Source organism: Homo sapiens, chromosome 1 (assembly GCF_000001405.40).
Source record: "Homo sapiens chromosome 1, GRCh38.p14 Primary Assembly".
Classification (NCBI taxonomy): domain Eukaryota; kingdom Metazoa; phylum Chordata; class Mammalia; order Primates; family Hominidae; genus Homo; species Homo sapiens.
Window position 1 is genome coordinate 34998581 of NC_000001.11, and position 25525 is coordinate 35024105.

Below are 25525 nucleotides of genomic sequence, written 5' to 3' on the forward strand. Positions count from 1 at the left end.
AAGAATGATGATGCTCAGACTAAGGAGGCGGTAATGGAGGTGGTAAGAAGTAGGGATCACTGAAGAGAAGTCTGGAGGGATAAAAGGGTTCTGTTTTAGATATATTATTTGAGATGGCTGTTAATCATATAAGTGTAAATGTCAAGTCGGCAGCTGGATACAGGAATCTGGAGCTCAAAGGTCAGGGTAAGAGAAATAAATCTAAATAAATCTAGAAGGAATCAATCACCATCTAGGTGGTATTTAAAACCACAGGAGTGGGCCAAGAGAAATGGCTCACACCTGTATCCTAGCATTTTGGGAGGCTGAGGCGGGAGGATGGCTTGAGTCCAGAAGTTTGAGACCAGCCTGGGCAACATAGCGAGACCTCATCTCTACTAAAAATGTACAAAGTTAGCCAGACATAGTGGCATGCCGCTGTGGTCCCAACTACCAGAAGGCTGAGGTGGGAGGGTCTCTCAATCCCAGAAGGTGGAGGTTGCAGTGAGCTGAGATCATGCCACTGCACTCAAGACCCTGTCTCAATCAGTAAATAAATAAAACCACAGGACTGCATGAATTCACTAAAAGTAATGTAGACTGAGAAAAGGGCCAAGTATGATGTCCTGGAAGTTGAATGAAGAAAGTATTTCAAGAAAGGAGGAAAGAGTGACTGTGTTAAATACAGTAAATTGACTACCAGATTTGGCAATATAAAGACTGATAGCAATATTGACAAGAACAGTTTCAATGCAGTGGTGCAGACAAAAGCCTGACTGGAATGACCTAAGGAGAGATTACAGATAAGGAGACAGAGGTGGCAAGAACAGGCTACCTTTAGAGGAGTTTTTCCATAAAGAGAGCAGAGAAAAGGGATAGTTGCTGGAGGGCCATGGTGTTAAAAAAGGATTATTCTCAGATAAGATGTAGGACTGCATATTTTTGTGTTGATGAAAATAATGAGTTGAAAAGGGGGAAAATCCAGATTACAGAGAGACCACCTAAAAATCATTAAGAAAAAGATAATTCAACACAAAAATAGGGAAAAATTAAAAACAGGAAATTCAAAGAAAATTCAAATGACCAAAAAACAGAAATATAAGCAAACCTACTGGTAATCAGTAACACATAAAATAAGATAACAATAAGATACCACCAAACAGATTAGCAAAAAAAGTTTAAATTTGACAACACTAAATGATGGTGAGGCTGTAATATATGGGTACAGTCATAACTGTTGGTAGGGATAAAAGTTGGAACAGCCCTAAAAATGAAAATGCTCTTTGACCTAACAATTCTACTCTCCCATTTCTACACATCTACACACACAGGAGACATATACAAGGATATTCACTGTAGCGGATATTTTTATTTATTTATTTATTTAGAGACAGGGTCTCACTCTGTCACCCAGGTTGTAGTGCAATGGTGTGATCTCAGCTCACCGCGGCCTTGACCTACCTTCTAGGCTCAAGCAACCCTCCCACCTCAGCCTCCCAAGTAGCTGAGACTATAGGCGTGCACCACCATACCCAGCTAATTTTTTGGTATTTTTTTATAGAGATGAGGTTTCATCATGTTGCCCAGGCTGGTCTCAAACTCCTGGACTCAAGTGATCCTTGGCGTCCCAAAGTGCTGGGATTACAGGCGTGAGCCACCACACTTCGCCCCAGAGATTTTTTTTTTCTTTTTTTTTGTTTTTGAGACAGGGTCTCTGTCACCCAAGCTGGAGTGCAGTGGTGCAATCAAGGCTTACTACAGCCTTGAACTCCTGGATTCAGGTGATTCTCCCATCTCAGCCTCCCAAGTAGCTGGGACTAGAGGCACTTGCCACCACCTAGCTAATTTTTTGTATTTTCAGTAGAGATGGGGTTTTGCCATGTTGTCTAGGCTGGTCTCAAACCCCTGAGCTCAAGAGATCTACCTACCTTGGCCTCCCAAAGTGCTGGGATTACAGACGTGAGCCACCGCGCCTAACTGCAAAGATTTTTAATAGCAAAAACCTGGAAACGATCTAATGTTCATCAATAGGACAATGGATAAATAAAATGTGGTACCTACAGGCAAAACATTACTATAATCAACAGGAATGTACCAAACCTACTCAGTATCAACATGGATAGGTATTTTTTAAAACAATATTAAATATTTTCCATTTAATATTAAATATTAAAGATTGTCTAAAAGAACACATGCTAAACTCATAATAGCAGTTGCTTCCAGGGATGTAAAAGGGAGACTAACTGGTAGTAGTGGTTAATTTTTTAAAAAAGAAGAAAAAGGTAGGGGAAAGAAACTGAGCAAATAAACCAAATCTAACAATGGTTAATTCTGGATAGTGGGAATATCATAGAGCAGGGGTTGCCAAACTATGGCCTGTGCACCACGTCCAGCCCACCATCTGTTTTTGTAAATAAAATTTTACTGGAACACAGCCACACTCACTCTTTCATGTATTATTTATGGCAGCTTTTCACTACAATGGCAGAGGTGACAGAGTCTACAATTGCAACCATAGAGCCTGCAAAGTTTAAAATATTTACTATCTAGACTTTTATAGAAAAAGTTTGCTGAGTTTTACAGATTTTCCTCTTTGTAATTTTCTGTATTTTTCACCTTTCCCAAAAATTTAAAATCATTTAAGTAACTTGAGGGAGATTCACAACAAAGTTCTCAGAGAAACCAAGAAAAGATTCTAAAACTGTCAGGTGTTTTTTTTTTTTTTTTTCACATTGTAAGAGCACTACATTATTTATTATACTTTTTATAGACTAAAGTAAAAATATTAATCAAAACTATTCTGTAACATAGTTTAAATGACTGGTGAATTATAGAAATACTCCACATAGGGAAAACATATATAGGGCAGCTACATGAAATATGAGGTATATGTTCCTAAAAAACTAAATAATTCAAAACTAACATAATTCAAGACTAATTATCTCATATATACAGAGGAAAGAAGCATTCTCAGAGTACATAAATCTACAACTAATATAGAATGTTTTTATGAATACATGTTAATACTTACTAATATATAATACATTAATACCTTGATTATACAATTGTGTGGTTAATAATGTACAACACAGTGATTTATTATGTAATTTTAAAATATAATTTAATGCAAAATACATAATATTCAAATAAATACCAAGTTAACTTAATGACAGTTAATTATCTAATGTGGTATACTGCTTGAAAATAATTAAGGAGAAATTACTATCATCTTCCAATAACACAAATAATGAGAGAGTTACGAGACACTAAATTAGGATAAGCTACCTCTCCACATTACAGTGAAGGCTGGTCTGATTCCTTGGAAGACTTTTGCTAAAGAATGACTCTAATGTGGTTTGAGAGTTTTTTCTTTCTTTTTTTTATCACTGAGGATTTCTTGGTATGCAGACACATTTTTCATCTTTAGACTTGCCACCACGAACAGCAATCCACATTTAGATCACCTTCAAAAATAGTAATTGCTGCTAAAATATGGTCAAAAGCCTATGGCAGTCACTTTACTGTTAGTTGTGCCCAAGGCCCGGATTGACTGCTAGGACCCTCTTCCAGTTGCTTTTGTTCTTCTAATTCTAGCAAGACTTCCTTTATTAATCCATGGGGGACAACCCAAGCAAATATTCAATATCCTCTTCAGGAACTCTGTGCAAATCTACCTTCTGTTCTACTTACACAGATTCCTTATTAGCAGGTGTTATGTTGTCTTCCAAGTTAAAGCCTCTTTAAATTATGGTAAAGCTGAAATGTTTTCATAGCTTTGGAGTTAGCAGATACAGCTTGCCAGTGCATTTTTATATTCCTAAAACCTTGGTGGGCTTTAAAATTGGAGAACCAGCCATAACTTGTAGTAAACCTTTTGTCTCACTGTCACCTCTTTTCAAATCAAAATGAAAATACTGATGCCTTAGCATAGATGATAGATTGCCCTCAGGGGTGCATTATGGCAGCACTGATCTTGCAACTTGTGTTACCAGAATTTTTTTCCATTTATTCCATTATCATTGCCTGGTTATAATTTTTGTGAACTAAGAGGCATACCTGCTTTAATACTGCTTTCAGTTTTTTGAGCACTACTGCTAATATTCTGCTGGGTACACTCTCCTAAATTAATAGCATGAGATATCACAGCAGTGGTTTGGTCATCTTCATAGATTTTTTATCACATCTAACTTTTGTTCTAAAGTTATTAAATTTGGGGCACATTTTTTTAGCACTAGCACCACCACTTAATATAACACTTAAATGGCATTATTCTACGATATAAAAAAAGAGTTTTAATTATATCAAGAGCAAATGTTAGGACAGCAGCACAAGCTGGGCACCATCGGCTCATGCCTGTAATCACAACAGCTTGGGAGGTTGAGGCGGGAGGATCACTTGAGGCTAGGAGTTTGAGACTAGCCTGGGCAACATAGCAAGACTGAGACCCTATCTCAACAAAAGAAAAAAAACAAAATAAGCTGTGTGTGGTGGCAGACACCTGTGGTCCTAGCTCCTCAGGAAGCTGAGGTAGGGGACTGCTTGAGCCCAGAATTTCGAGGTTGAGTGAGCTATGATCATGCCACCGCACTCCAGCCTGGGCAACAGAGCAAGACCCTGTCTCAAAAAAAAAAAAAAAAAAAAAAAGCATAACAGTCATCAAAAACATTAACCCAAGACCTGATACAGTATCATGTGATACTAATAAAGGATGATGGGAATTTTGTTTTCCTGCTAAAGTGATGCTGATACAGGGCAACAATGCCATAATTTGCAATCAGCCGGCCAGACTTGAAAGTATGCATTTCTTGAACGTTTCTTTTAATTTTGAGAAGTCTCACAATATTTCAAATTTGAGACATAAAGTGAAAGTCTAAATATATTTTTACTTTGCACTATTTTCAGTCTCACATAATTCAAAGTTGCATAAAACAGGACTACACTGAACTTTCAAAACTTAAAGGAAAATACTTGAATATAGTAAAAGAGAAAAATAATGTAGTTTTGTTATTTCCAACCAGGTGGAATTAACAAGAATTTAAATAAATTAAAGAACCTGAATACAAATAATAAAATAAATCAAGAATGCATTCTTACTAATGATCTAAGATTAAACTGTAAGATTCAAAACAAAAGCACACCATCTATTACTCCACTTTTTTAAAGACTAAGCTTGCCACTATGAACAGCAATCCACATTTACATCATCTTCAAAAACAGTAATTGCTGCCGAAATATGGTCAAAAGCCTATGCCAGTCACTTTACTGTTAGTTGTGCCCAAGACCTAGATTAATGACTAGGACCCTCTTCCAGCAAAAAGAAAAGTATTCAGATATATTAGAATGCCATATCCAAAGTGAAAATAAGCCCAAGTGGCATTATCAAGAAAAGTATTAACAATTAAACTCACATCTTGAATGATCTTTGCTGCCTCTTTAGTAACTGCACCTGTTGTAAATTAAAACAAATATTATTATCCTTAGAATATACAGAAGTAAACACTGAAATCAAGAAGTTACTTTCCTCCCATTAAGCTGGGCTAGAGTCTAAACCAGAGTTTCTCAGAAAAATGGTACAAGGAAACTGCATCAGTATCACCCAGGGTGCTTAATAACGGTAAGGATTCCAGGGCCCCAATCCCATCCAACTGTATTAGAATCTCTGGCAGTAAAGGAGTAGGTATATTAAAATCATGTGGGCTCCTAAAAAAATATCACTTCCCAGGGAGTACCTCTGAGCCTTCTATGGCTCAAGAGCCTGCCTGATTAAAAAGAAAACAAACAAATTAGCCCAGTGTGGTGGCCTGTAATCCCAGCACTTTGGGAGGCCAAGGCGGGAGGCCAGGAGCTCTAGACCAGCCTGGCCAACATGGTGAAACCGCATCTCTACCAAAAATATAAAATTAGCTGGGTGTAGTGGCAGGCACTTGTAAACCCAACTATTCAAGAGGCTGAGACAGAAGAATCGCTTGAACTCGGGAGGCGGAGGTTGCAGTGAGCCCAGATTGCGCCACTGCACTCCAGCCTGGGTGACACAGTAAGACTCCGTCTCAAAAAAAAAAATTAAAAATTGAAAAAACAAAAATAAAAACACTTCCTTTCCCATCCACACCACCTTGCTTGCTACCCACTCCCCTGAGGCGGGGGTGGGGAGGCGGTGGGAGGGGGTGCATGTTCCCCTACATCACGTAAAGAAAGATATTACCAGTAAGAACTACTGGCCAGGCACGGTGGCTCACACCTGTAATCCCAGCTATTTGGGAGGCCGAGGCAGGTGGCTCACCTGAGGTCAGGAGTTTGAGATCACCCTAGCCAACACGGTGAAATCCCGTCTCTACTAAAAATATCAAAATTAGCTGGGCGTGGTGGCAGGCACCTGTAATCCCAGCTACTCGGGAGGCTGAGGCAGGAGAATTGCTTGAACCCAGGAGGCGGTGGTTGCAGTGAGTTGAGATCACGCCATTGCACTCCAGCCTGGGCAACAAGAGTGAAACTGTCTCAAAAAGAGAGAACTACTTAGGCTAGACAACACTCACTTCTATGGCTTAGCCAAATGCCATTATATCAAGTCATACCTTTTAAAACACTGTTAGTGTTCCCTGTAGATAAGGTAGCAGGTATTTTTGCCAATGACATCACACTGGTTATAACTGGTGTTGTATCTGTCCTTGCAGAAGGGAGCTCCGTCACAGCAGTTTTTGCTTTAGAAATATTTACTGATTAAAATAAAAAGTTAAGATCTGGAATAAGCAAAAGGGTCTCTCTCTCATACACACTCACACTCACACACAAAACCCTGTTTAGTAACTAGGTTTTCAAGAAGCAATATAAATATCTGATTCTGTATCATGTTAGGTTGGGTGACTCTGGTCAGATTAGTGTTCTTTAGGACTTAAAGAGAGTCCAATTCTATAAAGTCATAAACCTCAAATGACATTTAACAGGTAAAAATACAGGTATTGGATACAGTGGCACCAGCCTGTAATCCCAGCTACTTGGGAGGCTGAAACAGGGGGATCACTTAAGCCCAGGAGTTCAAGACCAACCTGGGCAACATAGCAAAACCTAGTCTCAAAAAAAAAAAAAAAAAAAAAAGACAGGTATTAGCTTCAGGATTCACTGGACTGTTCTATTAGTGACTATTAAAACTCCTAGACCTAAGCATGCATCAGATAAAAACTTAACATGACAATTTTTATAAATAAGTTAATGAGGGAGCTGTCCAACCCCATAACACTAGTTTTCTTAACCCATATTATAAAATGAATATTCTACTACCAGCCTGACTGGTTCTGGGGAATGGAGGGCTAACACGAAAGATTAGCACAAGGCATTTATAATTAAGGTAATCATTAATAAGACTGCAGAGGTAGGCAATGGCCAGACTGCAAAGAGCCAAAGCTCTGTCAATCAGGTAGCACTCCAGGCTTTGAACAGAGAACATAATAGCAAGTGGCTTTTTTTTCTGAGAGAGAGAATATCGTTCTGTAGCCCAGGCTGGAGTGCCATGGCATGATCTCGGCTCACTGTAACCTCCATCTCTTGGGTTCCAGTAATTCTCGTGCCTCAGCCTCCTGAGCAGCTGAGCTTACAGGCACACACCACCACACTTGGCTAATTTTTGTATTTTTAGTAGAGATGGGGTTTCACCATGTTTACCAGTCTGGTCTCGAACTCCTGGCCTCAAGTAATTTGCCCATCTCAGCCTTCCAAAGTGCTGGGATTACAGGTGCGAGCTACTGCACCTGGCTACCAAATGTTTTTAATCTAATACTTAGAAAGAAATACTTAGGAGAGCTACTTTATGAATATATCATGGATCTATCTACTCACCTGGATATTCTGACCATATTAGCTGTCCTACTTGCAAAATTATTTTATTCTTAGCTAGGATAAACTTTGCTACCCATGAAGAACTGTTCCATTTTATATTTTCTGAGATAATTAACGTGTTGTTCTTTTCTCCTTGCCTATAAGCAAGCTCTGAAACAAATTTTACACTAGTCACAGCAACTATATTAACTATACTCTCCCTTTGTTTGCCCTGATTTTCTGTTTTTATTTCTGGTTTATTAACTAAATAGTATATATCCCTAGTTTAAGTTATTTATGTACAGATACATTCAATCAAAAAGCAATCAAATCTAAGTTTCCTATAAAAATTAGTGCATATACATTATTGGCCTTTTGGTGTGCTTGACTATCAGAGCAAAAAGTATTAGAATTACTTTTCCCTCAAGGGGAAATCTTAAAGACTTCTTAAAGAAAAATTTAAGGAAATTCAGGCTATTTGAATCCAATGAAATTTTGTTTTTATTATATTATTTATAACTGTATATGCTGATAGTGTCCTAGCACTGACATAAAAATCCCATTAGCTAAGTTTAATTTTACCTTTATTTTGTGGAAGACAGTCATTCATAATTTGCTGATGACAAAACTCCAAGACACAAAATAGGTTACAGAAATGTTTAATGTTGCCTCGCCACTTTATGGACTCGCTTAGTTTACCCTGTCGTTTACAACCATCACACTTGGCCATCTGAAAAAGAAATGTTAGACAAGATAGGCTTAAAACTATAAAATAATGAAAAGATAACATTAATCATAAAAAGAGGGACTACGAAAACAGGATATATGAGTCAGTTGAGACTACAAAATGTAAGGTTCTTACCTTAAAATACTGATTTTATTTAATTATTTGTTTTATATAGATGCCCTAAATCAAGATAATATAAAAACTGTGGCCAGGCACGGTAATTGTGGGATCACGCCTGTAATCCCAGCATTTTAGGAGGCCGAGGTGGGCGGATCATGAGGTCAGGAGTTCAAGACCAGCCTGACCAACATGGTGAAACCCCGTATCTACTAAAGTACAAAAATTAGCCAGGTGTGGTGGCGCACGCCTGTAATCCCAGCTACTTAGAAGGCTGAGGTAAGATAATCGCTTGAATCCAGGAGGCAGAGGTTGCAGTGAGCCGAGATCGCGTCACTGCACTCCAGCCTGGGTGACAGAGTAAGACTCTGTCTCAATAGAAAAAAAAAAAAATGCTCTTCTGTTTTCAAAATTACCAATAAGGGAATCTATCTAAAGATAGGTTCATAACTGGGCATGGTGGTGCCCACCTCTCCTGGTTACTCGGGAGGCTGAGGCAGGAGAATCACTTGAACCCAGGAGGCAGAGGCTACAGGGAGCCAACATCGCCCACTGATCACGCCACTGCACACCAGCCTGAGCAATAGAACAAGATTCTGTCTGGCTGGGGGATGGGGGGTGGGCAGGTGGGATGGGGGAAGAAAAGATACACAATGAAAAAAGTAAGTAAAAAAAAAATAAAGATAGGTTCAACTTCTAAAAAATTAAGCAGCAGCTTACAGTAGTTGATATAATATGGGCTTTGGAGTCATAAAGATTTTGATTCATTCAGCAAATATTTAATTAGACATCCTTTGTCTTAAGCACTGTGATTGGCCCTAATTATATAATCATGAAAAATATATTACCCTCCCCCAACAATAAAATTCTATTTTTTTAGAGGTAGAAAAACAAACAGTGATTTACCAGAGTGTTATAGATGCTGTCTTGCTGTCACCTACCAGCTTCCTCAAGAGCATATTACTTAACTTCCCTGGACCTCTCTCCTTTTCCTTATTTATAAAATGGCAGTAATATACTTACCTCTTGGGACTATGGTAAGGATTAAATGAAATGACACTTACAGAGCACCAGACATGTATTAGTGGTTCAATTAACTGTAGCTACCATTGTTAGCCTTTCAAAAAGTTAATCTTTTTAAAAATGAGGTAGGAATGGTTGCCAGCTATTGTCCTTTGACCTATGAAGTGAGACAAGGTCTAACTTCAAATTCCTCAGAGTAACCTGAATGAGAGAGCCACTTCAGGCAACATTATGTGAAGTTCTAACCTGAAAGAAGTCAAATAAGGGCAAAGTGCCTCATAAGAAGGCAAAAATAAAAGGAACATATCCAACCAACAACAAAGTCTGCAGAAATCCTATACTTTTTATCCCAAAGATTTCCTGTTTATATTCAATTGAATTTTTCTATTATAGCCCATAACTTATTTTATCCAGTGCTAAACACCAAATTTTTCTTCACATAATTTGAATACATTTTAAATAAAAACAATTTGCACTGATTTCAGAAAGCCAAAAAAAGTATATTATCACATTTACCTGATAAAACAGAACTGTAAATTTGGACATACAATCTTCACAACAAAACTCTTCTAACTTGCCCTCCAATCGATTTTCTACCAAATTTGGGGATGTCTGTGAACAGTAGCTGCACATCTTACAGTAGTTTCCCCATCGTTCTCCAAAGTCACGGGCAGAGAGGAATTTGCAAACTGAGGATCAGAGGGATGAAAGGAAGAAAAATCAAATTTACATTAACTGAGGAGGTATAATAAGTTTCTGTGGTCTTAGATATGAAACTTTAAGCTAATTTCTAATACACAATTATTTGCCTCTAGATTACAGGACAGTCTCTATATTCACAAACCAAACTCATACCACCTTTTATTTTATTTTATTTTTTGAGACAGAGTCTCACTCGTTTTGCCCAGGCTGGAGTGCAGTGGCACAATCTCAGCTCACTGCAACCTCTGCCTCCCAGGTTCAAACGATTCTCCTGCCTCAGCCTCCTGAGTAGAGCAGCTGGGATTACAGGTACCTGCCACCACACCCAGCTAATTTTTGTATTTTTAGTAGAGATGGCATTTCGCCATGTTGGCCAGGCTGGTCTCAAACTCCTGACCTCAGGTGATCTGGCTCGCCTTGGCCTCCCAAAGTGCTGGGAATACAGGCGTGAGCCACTGCGCCCTGCCACCACCTTTTAAATATACTCTAAATATTAGGCCATTTATATTCAGAAACATTAGAGGTATAAAAGTTTTTTAAGCCAAGAAGCAGCAACTGTTTTAAGTTCCTCTTCGCAAATGAGTGCAAGAACAAAAAGATCTCTGATGTCATAGCTAAACTTATGAAGAGATTTTCTTTATTAATACCACTGATGTAATCATTTTTACAGTTTTTTATTGCAATTACTGCAACATTTAAAAAGACTGACTTTCAGCCAGGCACAGTCGCTCACGCCTATAATCCCAGCACTTTGGGAGGCCGAGGCAGGAGTACCACCTGAGCTCAGGAGTTCAAGACCAGCCTGGGAAACATGGTGAAACCCCCCGTCTCTACCAAAAATAAAAAAAATTAGCCAGGCATGGTGGCACGCTCCTGTAGCTTCAGCTACTTGGGAGGCTGAAGTGGGAGGATCCCTTAAACCGGGGAGGCAGAGACTGCAATAAGCCAAGATCATGCCACCACACTCCAGCCTGAGTGACAGGGCAAGACCTTGTCTCAAAAAAATAAACAAACAAAAATAATAAATAAAAAGATTGACTTTAAAGTGAATTAACTATAAACACAATTCAAAAAAACCTTTTTTTTTTTGGAGACAAGAGTTTCGCTCGTCGCCCAGGCTGCAGTGCAATGGCATGATCTCAGCTCACTGCAACCTCTGCCTCTGAGGTTCATGCAATTCTCCTGCCTCAGGCTCCCAAGTAGCTGGGATTACAGGCGTGCGGCACCATGCCCGGCTAATTTTGTATAGAGACGGTGTTTTTTAACAGAGATGGGGTTTCACCATGTTGGTCAGGCTGGTCTTGAACTCCCAACCTCAAGTGATCCACCCACCTCAGCCTCCCAAAATGCTGGGATTACAGGCGTGAGCCTCCATGCCCGGCCTCCAAAATACTTCTAATTACACCTTGTAAGACAAAAAGAATGTGAAAACTAATCATGGCTTAATTGCCCAAGTCGTCATGAATTATAACAACCCATGCTCTGTGAATAAAACAACTTTGTCTTTACCTTCACTACAGAATGGCTTATCAACCCCTGAGAATCGCACAGTCTCCTTTATAATTTTCTGCAGTTTACAGTAGTCACACATTGCCACAACTTTATTTTTCTTCTTGTATTCATCAGAGCAATTCTTGCCACAAAACAGAAACATTTTACCCTGCAGAGAAACAACAGTCCATTAAGAGCCAACTAAACAGTTGCTTTATCTTTAAGAACTCCTTTTCATGTCAAAGCAAATTGAGTGATCAAAATTGAAAACACAAAAGTGTTTCTACTGGATGAGTTTATATACAATCCCTTTCATGATCTCTCTTTACCTTGTAAAAAAGAAGTTCTGGTTTTGTGGCAAATAGATGGTTACAGTGCTGACACTTGAGTTTAACAACTGTATGGGTTAAAGCAACTTGCTGGGATTGTTCAGCAAGAGGTTGGAGGCTGGCTGCAGCAGAGCCACGGATGGAGCTGGGGGAAACGGCAGAGGTGTTACCTCCTCCTATTGACACTGCTGACCTGGAGGAGGGCGGGCTTACAACCACTTGGCCCTGAGACAGGGGCACCGCCGAAGAGTTTGTTCCTTTTGGCTTGCTAAATACATTCTGAATGAAAACAAATAAGGTAAAGATTTTATCAACTGAGAAATAAGATAACTTTGTACTTTTCATTTCCTCATTTTAATAAATCAAGTCTCCCACAAACATTTTTTAAAATTTTCTATCTCACAGAAAGAGTTTAAATGGTATATTTCCAGAATAAAAGGACTGAGAAATACAACATTAAAAGGTCAAGGACTGGAATTCAGGCTTTCCTGACAAAGACCTCCAGTATATGCCTCTAATAAATTAGAGCAGGCCTCTCCTTCCCCCTAAAACTTCCCCCTACCTGCACTCCCATCATCAACCAGCTTCTGATGGCTACTACGACACAATAGCTACCAGCAGTCTCTTTCTCCCTAATGCCAGGGATACTACATCAGGCATGTTCCTACCCTGGAGATTACTAAACTCTACTCTTTGTGTATGTATTGCAGAGAGGGAGGAGAAAATGGGACAAGTGGATGCTTACAATTCCATGCCAGGAGTCACTGTGTTTCTGACACAGGATGAGAGGAAGGGGTATGTGAATCCCATCAGGCTACTGTTCTTCACCATACCACCTACCCAAACCACAATCCTAGCTTCCATCTTTTTGAAGGGGAGAGACCCAAGGGAGAAAGTGGGAGGGAATGACAGTTTAGGCTAGGATCCTAAATAAAGAAGAAACTGCTGAGACCCAATATCTGGGTTCAGATATTTTGTAGAAATGACCTGGTTGGGCCCCTGGATGAAACAAATTTTTTTCTTTTTAATTCAAATTTAAACTTTCATAAGAACAGGCCTTCAGCAGTTAACACTGTGCCACAGATCGATGCCTAACAGAACCACATGCATAATGTGCTACCTTAGATCATACCTGGAAAGCAACCACACAACTGGAGCTGCAGAAGCTGTATATAGTTCCATTTGACATGGCTAGGTGATACTGAGGGATTGCTGAGGTTTTACAACTATGACATGAAACCTGGACACCTTGGTGACAAAAAATTAAAAACAATGATTAAGTTATACCAATGAACAAACAATACAAAAATGTATTGGGAGAATGAAAAAATTAAATAATCAATAATATACCAAAAAAATCAAGGAACTTTATAAAAATCTGAAATCTAACCACAACTAACCTCTATTAAGTCCCACTTACACAAAAACTAACTTGGAAATTTTAAGTGTTTTTTCTTTCCTCTCACATATGAAATTATAAAATACTGTATATATTGCAACCAAGAAAATCGGGGAAAAACTATTTTCACATAAAAGTCAGTTATTTAAAAGTCAGTCTTGGGTTTTTATTTAACTAAATAGATAAATTTAGCTTGTAACAAAATCAGAGAAAAGCAGTTACGTTTTTCTTCAATAGTTATTAAATCTATAAATTTATCAAATTTAAACATTACCTGAAGAAGTAACAGTCTTAACTCTGTAAGCAGATAAGCAATTAATAGAGCAGAAAAGCTCTGTTTTTCCTGAATCATTTGTAGTCTCAATCATTTCAGCTGAGGGCCTCAATGACTTCCCCAGGGCATATGGAGGAATTTGGGCAGAATTCTATTAAAATAAAATAACATTAGATACCTAGTACAAACATACATATTTACATATTGTTCAAAAAAGTAAAAAGAAAAGCTACCTACAACCACGGTCCTTGGTTGAAATATTTGAGCATGATGATGAAACCACACTATTGGGAGGTGGGAAAATAAGTTCTTCCAGACAACAATAAAATAGAAACTGAAGAAAATTAGTAACTATTCAGATAGAGATCTTAGCAAACAAAACACATGAATTCAAACACAAGTAATGAATTAAATAGTCATTACATACTTTTTAATCACCAATAACCAGAGAAGACCAGCTAACCCATGAACCAAAGGGTCATTCTTGGTATAGTCTTGTACATCAATCTAGAAGAGTCTACCACCTTTAAGGTTACTTAATTTGTGAGATTCTTTAGCAGGAGATAGAAATGATATTTAATGTATATTAATAGAGATCCTACACAACTACCTATTTTTCAAGCTGAGTTTCATAATAAAATCTGCTTATAAGTTTATTCATGTTTTAAGAAATAATAAAAATAGCTACCATTTACATAACCAATATTATAACTTACTGAATGCTTACCATGAGTCAGGCCCCAGGCTAAGAAATTTATATATAGTGTATCACAGAAACCTTTCAACAACAGAGTGAGGCGCTCTCAAAAATTACATTAACAAAAAGTTTAAATTAACAGATGAGCAGAAGAAGTAGGAAATTAAACTCATTTCATCAGGCTCCAAAGTTCAGGCTCCTAACCACTACACTATGCTGTCAGTGATACATTATAAGGTCTCTCAATATGAAAAGAAATTGTAGGAAAATATAAATTGTGAGGTTTCACTACATAATCTTCCTAGTAAAAAGACAGAGTACAATACTAGTAACAAAATTAGAAATGGAACTGATTTTGGGATCATATATAAAATAACATGGATTCTTTTCCTGTGAAAGTAGAACCAGACTGCCAAAAATGGCAAATCTTAAAAAAAGAGATTCTTTTCAGTGATGAATGTCCATATGTCCATTACCAACTGCTCAAAGGAAGCAACAAATCAAACTTGCTAACTGAAAAAAAGTTTAATTATCATTTACAAGATACATCTTTGTTTTTTTTTTTTGTTTGTTTGTTTGTTTTTGAGACAGTCTTGCTCTGTCACCCAGGCTGGACTGCAGTGGCACAATCTCAGCTCACTGCAACCTCCACCTCCCGGGTTCAAGCAATTCTCCTGCCTCAGCCTCCTGAGTAGCTGGGATTACAGGCGCCCGCCACCACGCCCAGCTAATTTTTGTATTTTCAGTACAGACAGGGTTTCACCATGTTGGTCAGGCTGGTCTCGAACCCCTGACCTCGTGATCCACCCGCCTTGACCTCCCAAAGTGCTGGGATTACAGGCGTGAGCCACCGCGCCGGCCTTACAAGATACTTCTTTAAGAAAAACTTTTTAAAACCACAAATTAGTAATAATTAAATTGACACAAGGTGATAATATTTAGTAACCGGCTTAATCCATTATTCATTACAATAAATAAAATTACTTGAAGTATTCTCATGAGACAGTGTTGACCAAATAATTACAATTCATTCCCAAACACATTTTGAAATGAAAAAGACAAGCTTTGTTTAGATTCACTGATTTTATCATCTTAACTCTTGCTTATGGTTTATTTATAATATGGTTTTCTTGCTATCAATACATCACAAAATATTTCATGCTCACAGAAAATCATGAAATTACATTTATGAGGCCGAGGTGTGGTTGCTCATGCCTGTAATCCCGGCACTTTGGGAGGCTGAGGCGAGTGGATGGCTTGAGCTCAGGAGTTCAACACCGGCCTGAGCAACATGGCAAAACCCTATCTCGATTTCAAAAAAAGAAAAGAAATCACATTTGTAAATTCTTAGCTATGAAGGGAGCCTTAAAAAAGGGACCTATTTTACCTATATCAACTTACCACCACAATCATCCCTCACACCATCAGAATCTATCCCATTTTCTGGAAGGGAAATCACATATCAGGATGGACTAATGGGAGGAGCTCACTCTCATTTTGTAGTTCATCCCTGTGCAGCCAAATCAGAAGGAGTGGGCCTAAGTACATGCAACAAATAGATATTCATACCTGCTTGTATGCCGTGACACTTGTTGAACTAAAAACCTTCTGGGATTGGCAAGGACCAGAGCTACTATAGCAATAGCTCCCACAGTTCTCACAACAGTTCATGGTGAGGTTGTTTGTAGAGTGAAATTTTGAAAAACAGGCATCACTACAAAGACCATGTACCACATTTTGATATTTAACTTCAAATCGAGTCTAGGAAATAAACACACACATACACACACAAAATAAGCAGAGCCAGTTAAAAAAAAATCTCTTTCAGCAGAATCCCAATAAAAGTAAAATGTAACTTACATCAGCATTCTTCTGACACATACTGCACTTAGTTGAAATGCTTTTGGTATATATGGTAACAACAGGTTTTTTCTTTAGCTCATAAGATGACAAGCATGATTGGCTGCAGAAATCTTTGCTAGGATAGGAATTCTCAAAGCGAGTTGTGATCACATCCTTAGGATTTAAAATGTCTCTAAAAATAAATAACAAAGGTAAAAATGAAATGTATTCTTCACAACTGTAACTTCCTCCTCTTTGTGAGGTGAAATAACACTTACTAAGGGCAGGTACTGTATGGTAGAAAAAGGATAAGGAATCTGCAAACCTGGGTTTGATGAGTTCTGCTATTTATCAGGTGAGTGACAATGAATGATGTAATTACTATCTCAATTTCTTCATGTATAAAATGGGGCTTATAATATCTAATTCATAAATTTGTCAAGAGTGAATTATATTTAAAATATAGCCAGCCAGGGCCAGGTGCGGTGGTTCATGCATGTAATCCCATCACTTTGGGAGGCCGAGGTGGGCGGATCATGAGGTCAGGAGTTCGAGACCAGCCTGGCCAACATGGTGAAACCTCGTCTCTACTAAAAATACAAAAACTAGATGGGCGTGGTGGTGGGCGCCTGTAATCCCAGCTACTCGGGAGGCTGAGGCAGGAGAATCACTTGAACCCGGGAGGTGGAGGTTGCAGTGAGCCGAGATTGTGCCACTGCACCCCAGCCTTGGCAACAGAGCTAGACTCCATCTCAAAAAAAAAAAAAAAAAAAAATATATATATATATATATGTGGCCAGCCAGATGCTGAAGACAAAAATAGGAAGGCTTCCAGCCCCAACCAAGTTTCATCTGCTATAGCCAATGGGACCAGTGTCCATCCCACAACTCCAGACCACAAGACACTGGTTCTCTCATTAGCCAGAGGCTGCCCAAAGTAGAACTGAAATGAGACAATAAATGAATTTTTTCTTTCTTTTTTTTTTTTTTTTTTGTGAGACGGAGTCTCGCTCTGCTGCCCAGGCTGGAGTGCAGTGTCACGATCTCGGCTCACTGCAATCTCCACCTCCTGGGTTCAAGCGATCCTCCTGTCTCAGCCTCCGGTTCGAGTAGCTGGGACACCAGCACGTGCCACCATGCCAGGCTAATTTTTGTATTTTTAGTACAGACGGGGTTTCGCCATATTGGCCACGCTGGTCTCAAATTCCTGACCTCGCGATCCGCCTGCGTCAGCCTCCCAAAGTGTTGGGATTACAGGCATAAGCCACCGTGTCCAGCCAAGACAATAAATGAATGTTTAAAAATTAAAAGTGCAAGATTTTGAGAAACAAATGAGCTAACAGAAGACAAAAAATAAGCATGATATATGACAAAAGGGCTGTTAAGGCTTTGTATCAGAGGACAGATGGAAACAAGAACGAGACAGGAAGAACAAAAATAATTGGGTGGTTCTGTGAGACTCCTAGAGCCAATTTGTAAGAGCTAATTATTGCAATAAGCACAAATAGCAATACCCTGGTAAAACAGAGGTTAAGTATTGCCATTCTTCTGACAAGTATAAAAACTAAAGGAAATAGTCACTAATTATAAACACTAGTGCAGGCCACAAAGTAAATAATAATGGCAATAATATATACTACAATAAGTGTGTTGAGTAATTACTATGTGCCAAGCATTATTCTCTTTACTCAAATTACCCAATTTAAATACCACAAAAATGATGGAGTGCAGTGGCTCACCCCCATAATCCTAGCACTTTGGAAGGCCAAGGCAGAAGGATTGCTTGAGCCCAGGGAGTTCAAGACTCCAGTGAGCCATGATCATGCCACTGCACTCCAGCCTGGGCAACAGAGCAAGACCCGATCTCTATAAAAAAAATTTTTTAATTAGCAGGGCATGCTGGCTCATGCCCATGGTCTCAGTTACTCAGGATGCTGAGGTGGGAGGATTGCTTGAGCCCGGGAGGTAGAGGCTGCAGTGAGCTGGGATCACGCCACTGCACTCCAGCCTGGGTGACAGAGTGAGACCGTGTCTCAAAAAAAAAAAAAAATCCCCAAACCACTATAAGGTTAAGTATTACTGTAACTGCCACTTTACAGATGAGGAAACTGAATGAGAGGTTAAATAGCTTGTCAAAGTCATATTGCTAGTAGGCAATAAAGCTGAAATACTAATCCAGGCAATCTGATTCTAGTCTATGGAATTAATTATTCCACTATCCTGCCTCCCATCCTGCACCTTTATTATACAGGTATATTCAATGGTAAACCATGAGAAAATAACAACAACAAAAATTATTTTAATTCTTTAAAACTCAACTTTAAAAATATGACAGCAAATCTTAGAAACCAAAAGAATATGCTTATACACAGATGAAGTATTAATTTTGAAAAGTGATTTTTCTACTGAAAACAGAGCAATAAAGAGTTTCACTTAATAAGGTGAATCTGCCAGTGGCATAATAAGTACAAAAATAGCAAGTAAAAATATGTAAATCAAAGAGAATGACTTTATAATGAAAATCTGTGCACATAAATTATAAGTGTACTCTGAACCTTACACATGCAAATGAGTGTTATATCGTAACATTTACCGTAGAAAAACCACACCTTCCAACAATAACATAGCTCAAAACATTTTTCTAATTTTTTTAAGATAAAACTTAAGATAAACCCTTAGACTATTTTTTAACTTTTAATTTTATAAATATCATGTTTTAACAGTATGACTTAATTTAATTAGCTAATATATTGGCCTGATTAAGGTATCAAGCAGCCTTTGAAAATTTGTAAAAATCAAATGCATGCTGAAAAGATAAGAATCTGTCTCCTAACCTTATGCTAAAAAGTCACTGACGGGGGTGACTACTTTTAAGAAAACAATAGGCATTTGGATGTATAAGTTGTGTTATGTTCTTTAAAATTATTTAATTTTATTTTGGTATTTGGTATGTTGAAACAATATCTAAAAATAGAAAACTAAGTTTACTCTTTCAGATTAGTTTCATGAGAATGACATAAAAGCATTAATTAGAATGGTATTTTGCAACAAACTAATTTAGAGTATATAAATATTTTAAAATTCCTCTCTCCTGGCCACATGTGATGGCTCACACCAATAGTCCCAGCACTTTAGGAGGCTGAGGCAGGCTAATTGCTTGAGCCCAGGAGTTTGAGACCAGCCTGGGCAACATAGCAAAACCATCTCTACAAAAAAATACAAAAATTAGTCGGGCATGGTGGTATGCGCCTGTGGTCCCAGCTATTTGAAAGGCTGAGGTGGGAGGATCATCTGAGCCCGGGGAGTTCAAGGCTGCAGTGAGCTGTGATCACTCTACCATGGGCAACAAAGAAAAAAAAAAATCCTCTCTCCTCTTTACTTGGAAATTTCCATATAGCAGGATCTACTTTTAAATAGTTTAAGTCAAGACACAAAGCAGATAAACACAGCCAAAGACAAAATAGGGGCCTACAAGTGATATGTTAAGTATACATAGTAATATGTATTATATACACATATATTTATTATATTTATTTATGTTAATTATAAATAATCGCACGATATAATTTTTATTATTAATAATAACAGGATTCCATTTTTTAAGTACTTGCTATGTGCTAGGCCATTTGCTAACACTGTCTCATTAAAGTCCTAGGAAGCAACTATTATTTACTGATGAGAAATGGAGGCTTAGAAAGTTAAACATCTAGCCCGAAGTCACAGAGATAAATGACAGAGCCACAATTTAAAAGCAAGCTCTTACTGTTTTTTGCCTGTAGTGACTATTAACAACACACTGTATTCCTCAAATTACACTACCACAGAAATAGGCAAAATATGCCAAATCCTTCAAATGTACTAAGTCAGGGAAAGATTTATGTGACTTTGTTGCTGTTTTTTCCTCTCTCTGCATCTAAGCATTATTGTAAAGCAACAATGACCCCACAAGGACATTAGAAATAAACACATTTTTGCGACCATGTAGAGTTTTTACTTTTTAAAGAATTAAATAGCTTTTGTATACTATTAAAAGAGTGATATTATTTTATGCTATACCCAATAGCTTTCAAGATAACTGTTAAATAAATTTAAATGGTGGGTGTCTACAATTACAGGATAGTCCTGCAATTCCCACATGTCATTTGTTATTTCTTTCCATAGTAAAATTTAAAGTGATAGAAAACTGGTTTAGGCAATATTCTAACACCAAGTCACTTATTTAATGTTGCAAAACTTTAAAATTGGTGAATTCTTCCATTAACTAAAAAGTTATTTCTACAGATACATGCTGAAGAGATTTAAAGTATCAACAGTATGTTTGAACTAAACAATATACACACTAAAAAAAAGGTAAAGTAAAAAGGGATGTTAAGAATTTTATACTTCGAGCAGTTTGTGCAGGTTTTCTTGGGAGGAGGTGGCAGGCAGGCAGGTGAAGAATGTCTGGTGATGCATCGTGTGGAGCAGAAGAGCTGAGTAGATCCTGTCTTATGATATGCAGTTTGGCCCTTATAAAGCATTTTTTTACAACCAGAACAAAAAACCTTAATAGCAACAGCTGGAACTGAAGGAAGCAACACACTTGGGCCAGATGATGCAAAAGAAAGCTGAAAGCCTGGGTTCAACTGCTGGGCTATCAAAACAAAATAAAAAAAGTTTTAGTATCAATACTAATGCATATACAGTCTCAGTCTCTCTCTCTCTCTCTCTTTTTTCTTTTTCTGAGACACGGTCTCACTGTCACCCAGGCTGGAGTGCAGTGGTGCAATCAAGGCTCACTGAAGCCTCAAACTCCCAGGATTAACCAGTCCTCCCGCCTCAGCCTCTTGAGTAGCTAGGACTACAGGCACATGCCACCACACCCAGCTAATTTTTTTTTAATTTTTAGCAAAGATAAGGTATGTTGCCCAGACTGGTCTCAAACACCTGAGCTCAAGCGATCCTCCTGCCTCAGCCTCCCAAGTTGCTGAGATTACAGGTGTTAGCCACTAAACCCAGCCCAGTCTCTCTTTTTCAGGACAAATTCCCAATCTTGAAATCCAGTTAATGAGGCAATAAGAGCTCTAAAACAGAGGTTTCAATTTTTTTTTAACCATTACTCAACGCAAGAAATACATTTAATATTATAACCCAGTTCTCACATACATATGTTTGTAAACGTGGGGATGTATGTACAATTTAATCACTGAAACAGAAGTTTTATGAAACAATATGTTTCCTTACTACACATATCATATTCTGATATAATCTTACTCTATTTTTTAAAACGCTGCTGAAAACCAGCTACTCACAGTTTGAAAAAACACAGCTCTAAAGAAAGAGAAAGACATACATGAAAAGATGCTTTCCCTCAATTTTAAAAGTCAGAATAAGCAAATTAATTGTAACTAACTTATACAGTTCCATTTCTTACCAATAGGTCTCTCATTAACTGAAGACACACCACCAATTTTCAATTTACTTTCTTGAGTTTTTGGCTGTTGGACACATCCATACTCCTTTAAAAAAAAAAAGAAAAGAGAAAAGAGCAATGAATACAATGTATGTAAGTAAACTAGAAATTCAAGCAAAAAAAAATTATTCTATCCTATTCATCTCCTTTTTTTTTTTTTTTTTTTTTTGAGATGGAGTCTCACTTGGGTGCCCAGGCTGAAGTGCAGTGGCGCGATCTCAGCTCGTTGCAACCTCTGCCTCCCAGGTTCAAGCGATTCTTCTGCCTCAGCCACCCGAGTAGCTGGGACTACAGGTATGTGCTACCACACCCAACTATTTTTTGTATTTTTAGTAGAGACAGGGTTTCACCACATTGGCCAGGCTGGTCTCGAACTCCTGACCTTGTGATCTACCCACCTCAGCCTCCCAAAGTGCTGGGATTACAGGCGTGAGCCACCACACCCGGCCCTATTCATCTCTTAAACAGTCTAATCATAAATACCTTCACAAGCACCTCAAAAGTCAAAATTTACAAGTTATTACACTAATCTTTACAAAGACAATCTTTCAGAATTAGAGAATCTTTTAAAATACTTTTATCTACTTTTCAAATGAAATTTTGATATATGGGAGTAATACATAGCTATTCCAAATGCTGAGCACTACCTATTTTTTAGGTAGTGTGTTTAAAAGGGGGTAATAAATGAAAAAAAAAATTTTTTTTTTTTTTTGACATGGAGTCTCATTCTGTCACCCAGGCTGGAGTTTCATTCTGTCACCCAGGCTGGAGTGCAATGGCGTGATCTTGGCTTACTGCAACCTCCAACACCCAGGTTCAAGCGATTCTCCTGCCTCAGCCTCCCAAGTAGCTGGGAATACAGGCTTGCGCTACCACACCCGGCGAATTTTTGTGTTTTTTTCCAGTAGAGAAGGGGTTTTGCTATGTTAGCCAGGCTGGTCTGGAACTCCTGACCTCAGGTGATCCGCCCACTTTGGCCTCCCAAAGTGCTGGGATTACAGGTGTGAGCCACTGCACCCGGCAAAAAGGAGCAATAAATGAAATTAAATCTGGCTGGGCGTGGTGGCTCACACCTATAGTCCCAGCTACCCAGGAGGCTGAGGCAGGAGAATCACTTGAACCCGGGAGGAGGAGGCTGCAGTAAGCCAAGATTGTGCCACTGCACTCCAGCCTGGGCAACAGAGCGAGCCTCTGCCTCAAAAAAAAAAAGAAAAAGAAAAAAAGAAAAGTTAAATCTGAATGATTTAGAGTTTGGATTTCAATCATTTTAGATTTACAAGCTGCCTTTTCTGTTAATGGCAGAAAAGATACAAGAGTGTCAATGCAATCTGCTCATTATACATAAAATCATCACAGACAAAATCCTATTTATTCTTACCACATTCTTTAAAACGTTTTAAAACAAAATGTAATCATGAAACATTTTTAAAATGTAAATGCCTATCTTTATTCTGAAATTGCAACCATCCTTTTTTTTAATGTTAAAATACCCTTACATATTTCAAAACAGGAAGTTTTTTAAAAAGTCTTACTTTTCTGAATCAATGATGGTAATAAATGGCAGTTGTATTTTTAATCTCTCCACACATAGCAAAATAAATGAGTAGCTATGTTAGTTCCAAAGTTACTTTAGAAATTTCTTTAGACTATTAAATGCCAAAAACTAGGAACCATTGCATTAATTCACCACTTCCCATGATATGTATTATGAGCACCCAAAGAGGTGCTCTCTATAAGATATGCCTTCTTTATAGATGAGGAAAGTGAAGCTAAGAGATGTTCAGCAACTTGCCCAAGGTCACAAAGAGACTACGTGCACAGATGGGAATCAAACCCAGTCTCTCTGTTTTGTTTTTTTTTTCTTTTTGAGACGGAGTCTCGCTCTGTAGCCCAGGCTGGAGTGCAATGGTGCCATCTCGGCTCACTGCAACCTCTCCCTCCCGGGTTCAAGTGATCCTCAGCCTCCTGGGTAGCTGGGATTACAGGCACTCACCACCATGCCCAGCTAATTTTTGTATTTTTAGTAGAGACAGAGTTTCACCATGTTGGTCAGGCTGGTCTTGAACTCCTGACCTCAGGTGACCCACCCACCTCCACCTCCCAAAGTGCTGGGATTACAGGCATGAGCCACCGCACCCAGCCAGTCTCTCTGTTCTAAAACCCAAGATAGCACTGTCATAGATGTGAAAATATAAAGTAATTACTACAATGAATTCAAACTCTGGTCCAACTGAAATTAAGTTCCCCTGTTGCAGTAGTCTCTCCCATCTCCTTTCTCTCACAGCAGTTACCATAGTAAATCATTTCATTGCTTATTTGGATAATTTGATTAATGCTTAACATTCATCCTTCCCCCTACACACACATTAGACTAAAAAGATCACATCCATTATGGACAATACCTGTTTTTCTCACCCCTGTATACCCAATCGCCCAACACAGTCAACATAACAGTAATGACTATAGGTTCTAACAGCAGACAGAAACAGATATGATCTTGACTCCTAAACAAGCTATTTAATCTTTCTTAGTTTCAATTTCTTTATCTGTAAAATAAAGATAATATTACCTAACCCATAGGGCCAACGGGGAGGGAGGGGGCAAATGACTTAATATAAATAAGGTATACAGAATGACATCTTACAGTTAGTCAAAAGCAAGCACGATATGTACACAAAATGCTAGTTCTTTTTTTTTTTCTTTTGAGATGGAGTTTCGCTCTTGTTGCCCAGGCTGGAGTGCAATGGCGGATCTCAGCTCACCACAACCTCCACCTCCAGGGTTCAATCGATTCTCCTCCCTCGGCCTCCCCAGTAGCTGGGATTACAGGCATGCGCCACCACGCCTGGCTAATTTTGTATTTTTAGTAGAGACGGGGTTTCTCCATGTTGGTCAGGCTGGTCTCGAACTCCTGACCTCAGGTGATCTGCCCGCCTTGGCCTCCCAGAGTGCTGGGAGTACAGGCGTGAGCCACTGCACCTGGCCAAAATGCTAGTTCTCATACTTATTTATTAGTTTCATAACTGGCATTTAATAAATACTTGCTAAATGAAGGAATCTAAGTCTATTCAATCCAAAGTGCATGTTCTTAAACATTATACTTAAATAACAATATTTATTGACACTTGCAAAATGAAGAGGACATTAAAAATATTATATACATCTTCAAATTACCAAAATGAGTGTTTAAGATTCAATAAAATTTTTTTTTTTTTTTTGGAGACAGAATCTCGCTCTGTCACCCATGCTGGAATGCAGTGGACGATCTCGGCTCACTACAAGCTCCGCCTCCCAGGTTCACGACATTCTCCTGCCTCAGCCTCCGGAGTAGCTGGGACTACAGGCGCCCACCACCATGCCTGGCTAATTTTTTTGTATTTTTAGTAGAGACGGGGTTTCACCGTGTTAGCCAGGATGGTCTCGATCTCCTGACCTCGTGATCTGCCCGTCTCGGCCTCCCAAAGTGCTGGGATTATAGGCATGAGCCACCGCGCCCGGCCAGATTCAATAAAAATTTCTTTGCCTTATCAACTCAATTTCTAAAATTTTTCTAGTATTTCTGTTATATTTCCCTGACCAGTTTCTTTTACCTCACAAAGTAATTTTTCTAAACCTTCATAGCTCACGAGTCCCAACTCCACATCTTTCCTGCTCATTGATGTTTCAATTGCACCAGGTAAAAAC

General features: G+C 38.5%; 1 protein-coding gene across 1 annotated transcript in view; it reads right to left on the bottom strand.

Moving 5' to 3' along the window:
* ZMYM6 (zinc finger MYM-type containing 6) overlaps window positions 1-25525 on the bottom strand; it is a 45781-nt gene that overhangs the window by 12416 nt on the left and 7840 nt on the right. The window contains exons 3-14 of the mRNA NM_007167.4: window positions 21803-21887; window positions 20773-21022; window positions 16408-16582; window positions 16117-16308; window positions 13851-14001; window positions 13310-13425; window positions 12178-12456; window positions 11867-12017; window positions 10172-10344; window positions 8371-8518; window positions 6552-6692; window positions 5388-5425 (exon numbers count right to left, since the gene is read on the bottom strand). Coding sequence (NP_009098.3) covers window positions 5388-5425; window positions 6552-6692; window positions 8371-8518; window positions 10172-10344; window positions 11867-12017; window positions 12178-12456; window positions 13310-13425; window positions 13851-14001; window positions 16117-16308; window positions 16408-16582; window positions 20773-21022; window positions 21803-21887 — 1899 coding nt within the window. The remainder of the gene's footprint in view (window positions 1-5387; window positions 5426-6551; window positions 6693-8370; window positions 8519-10171; window positions 10345-11866; window positions 12018-12177; window positions 12457-13309; window positions 13426-13850; window positions 14002-16116; window positions 16309-16407; window positions 16583-20772; window positions 21023-21802; window positions 21888-25525) is intronic.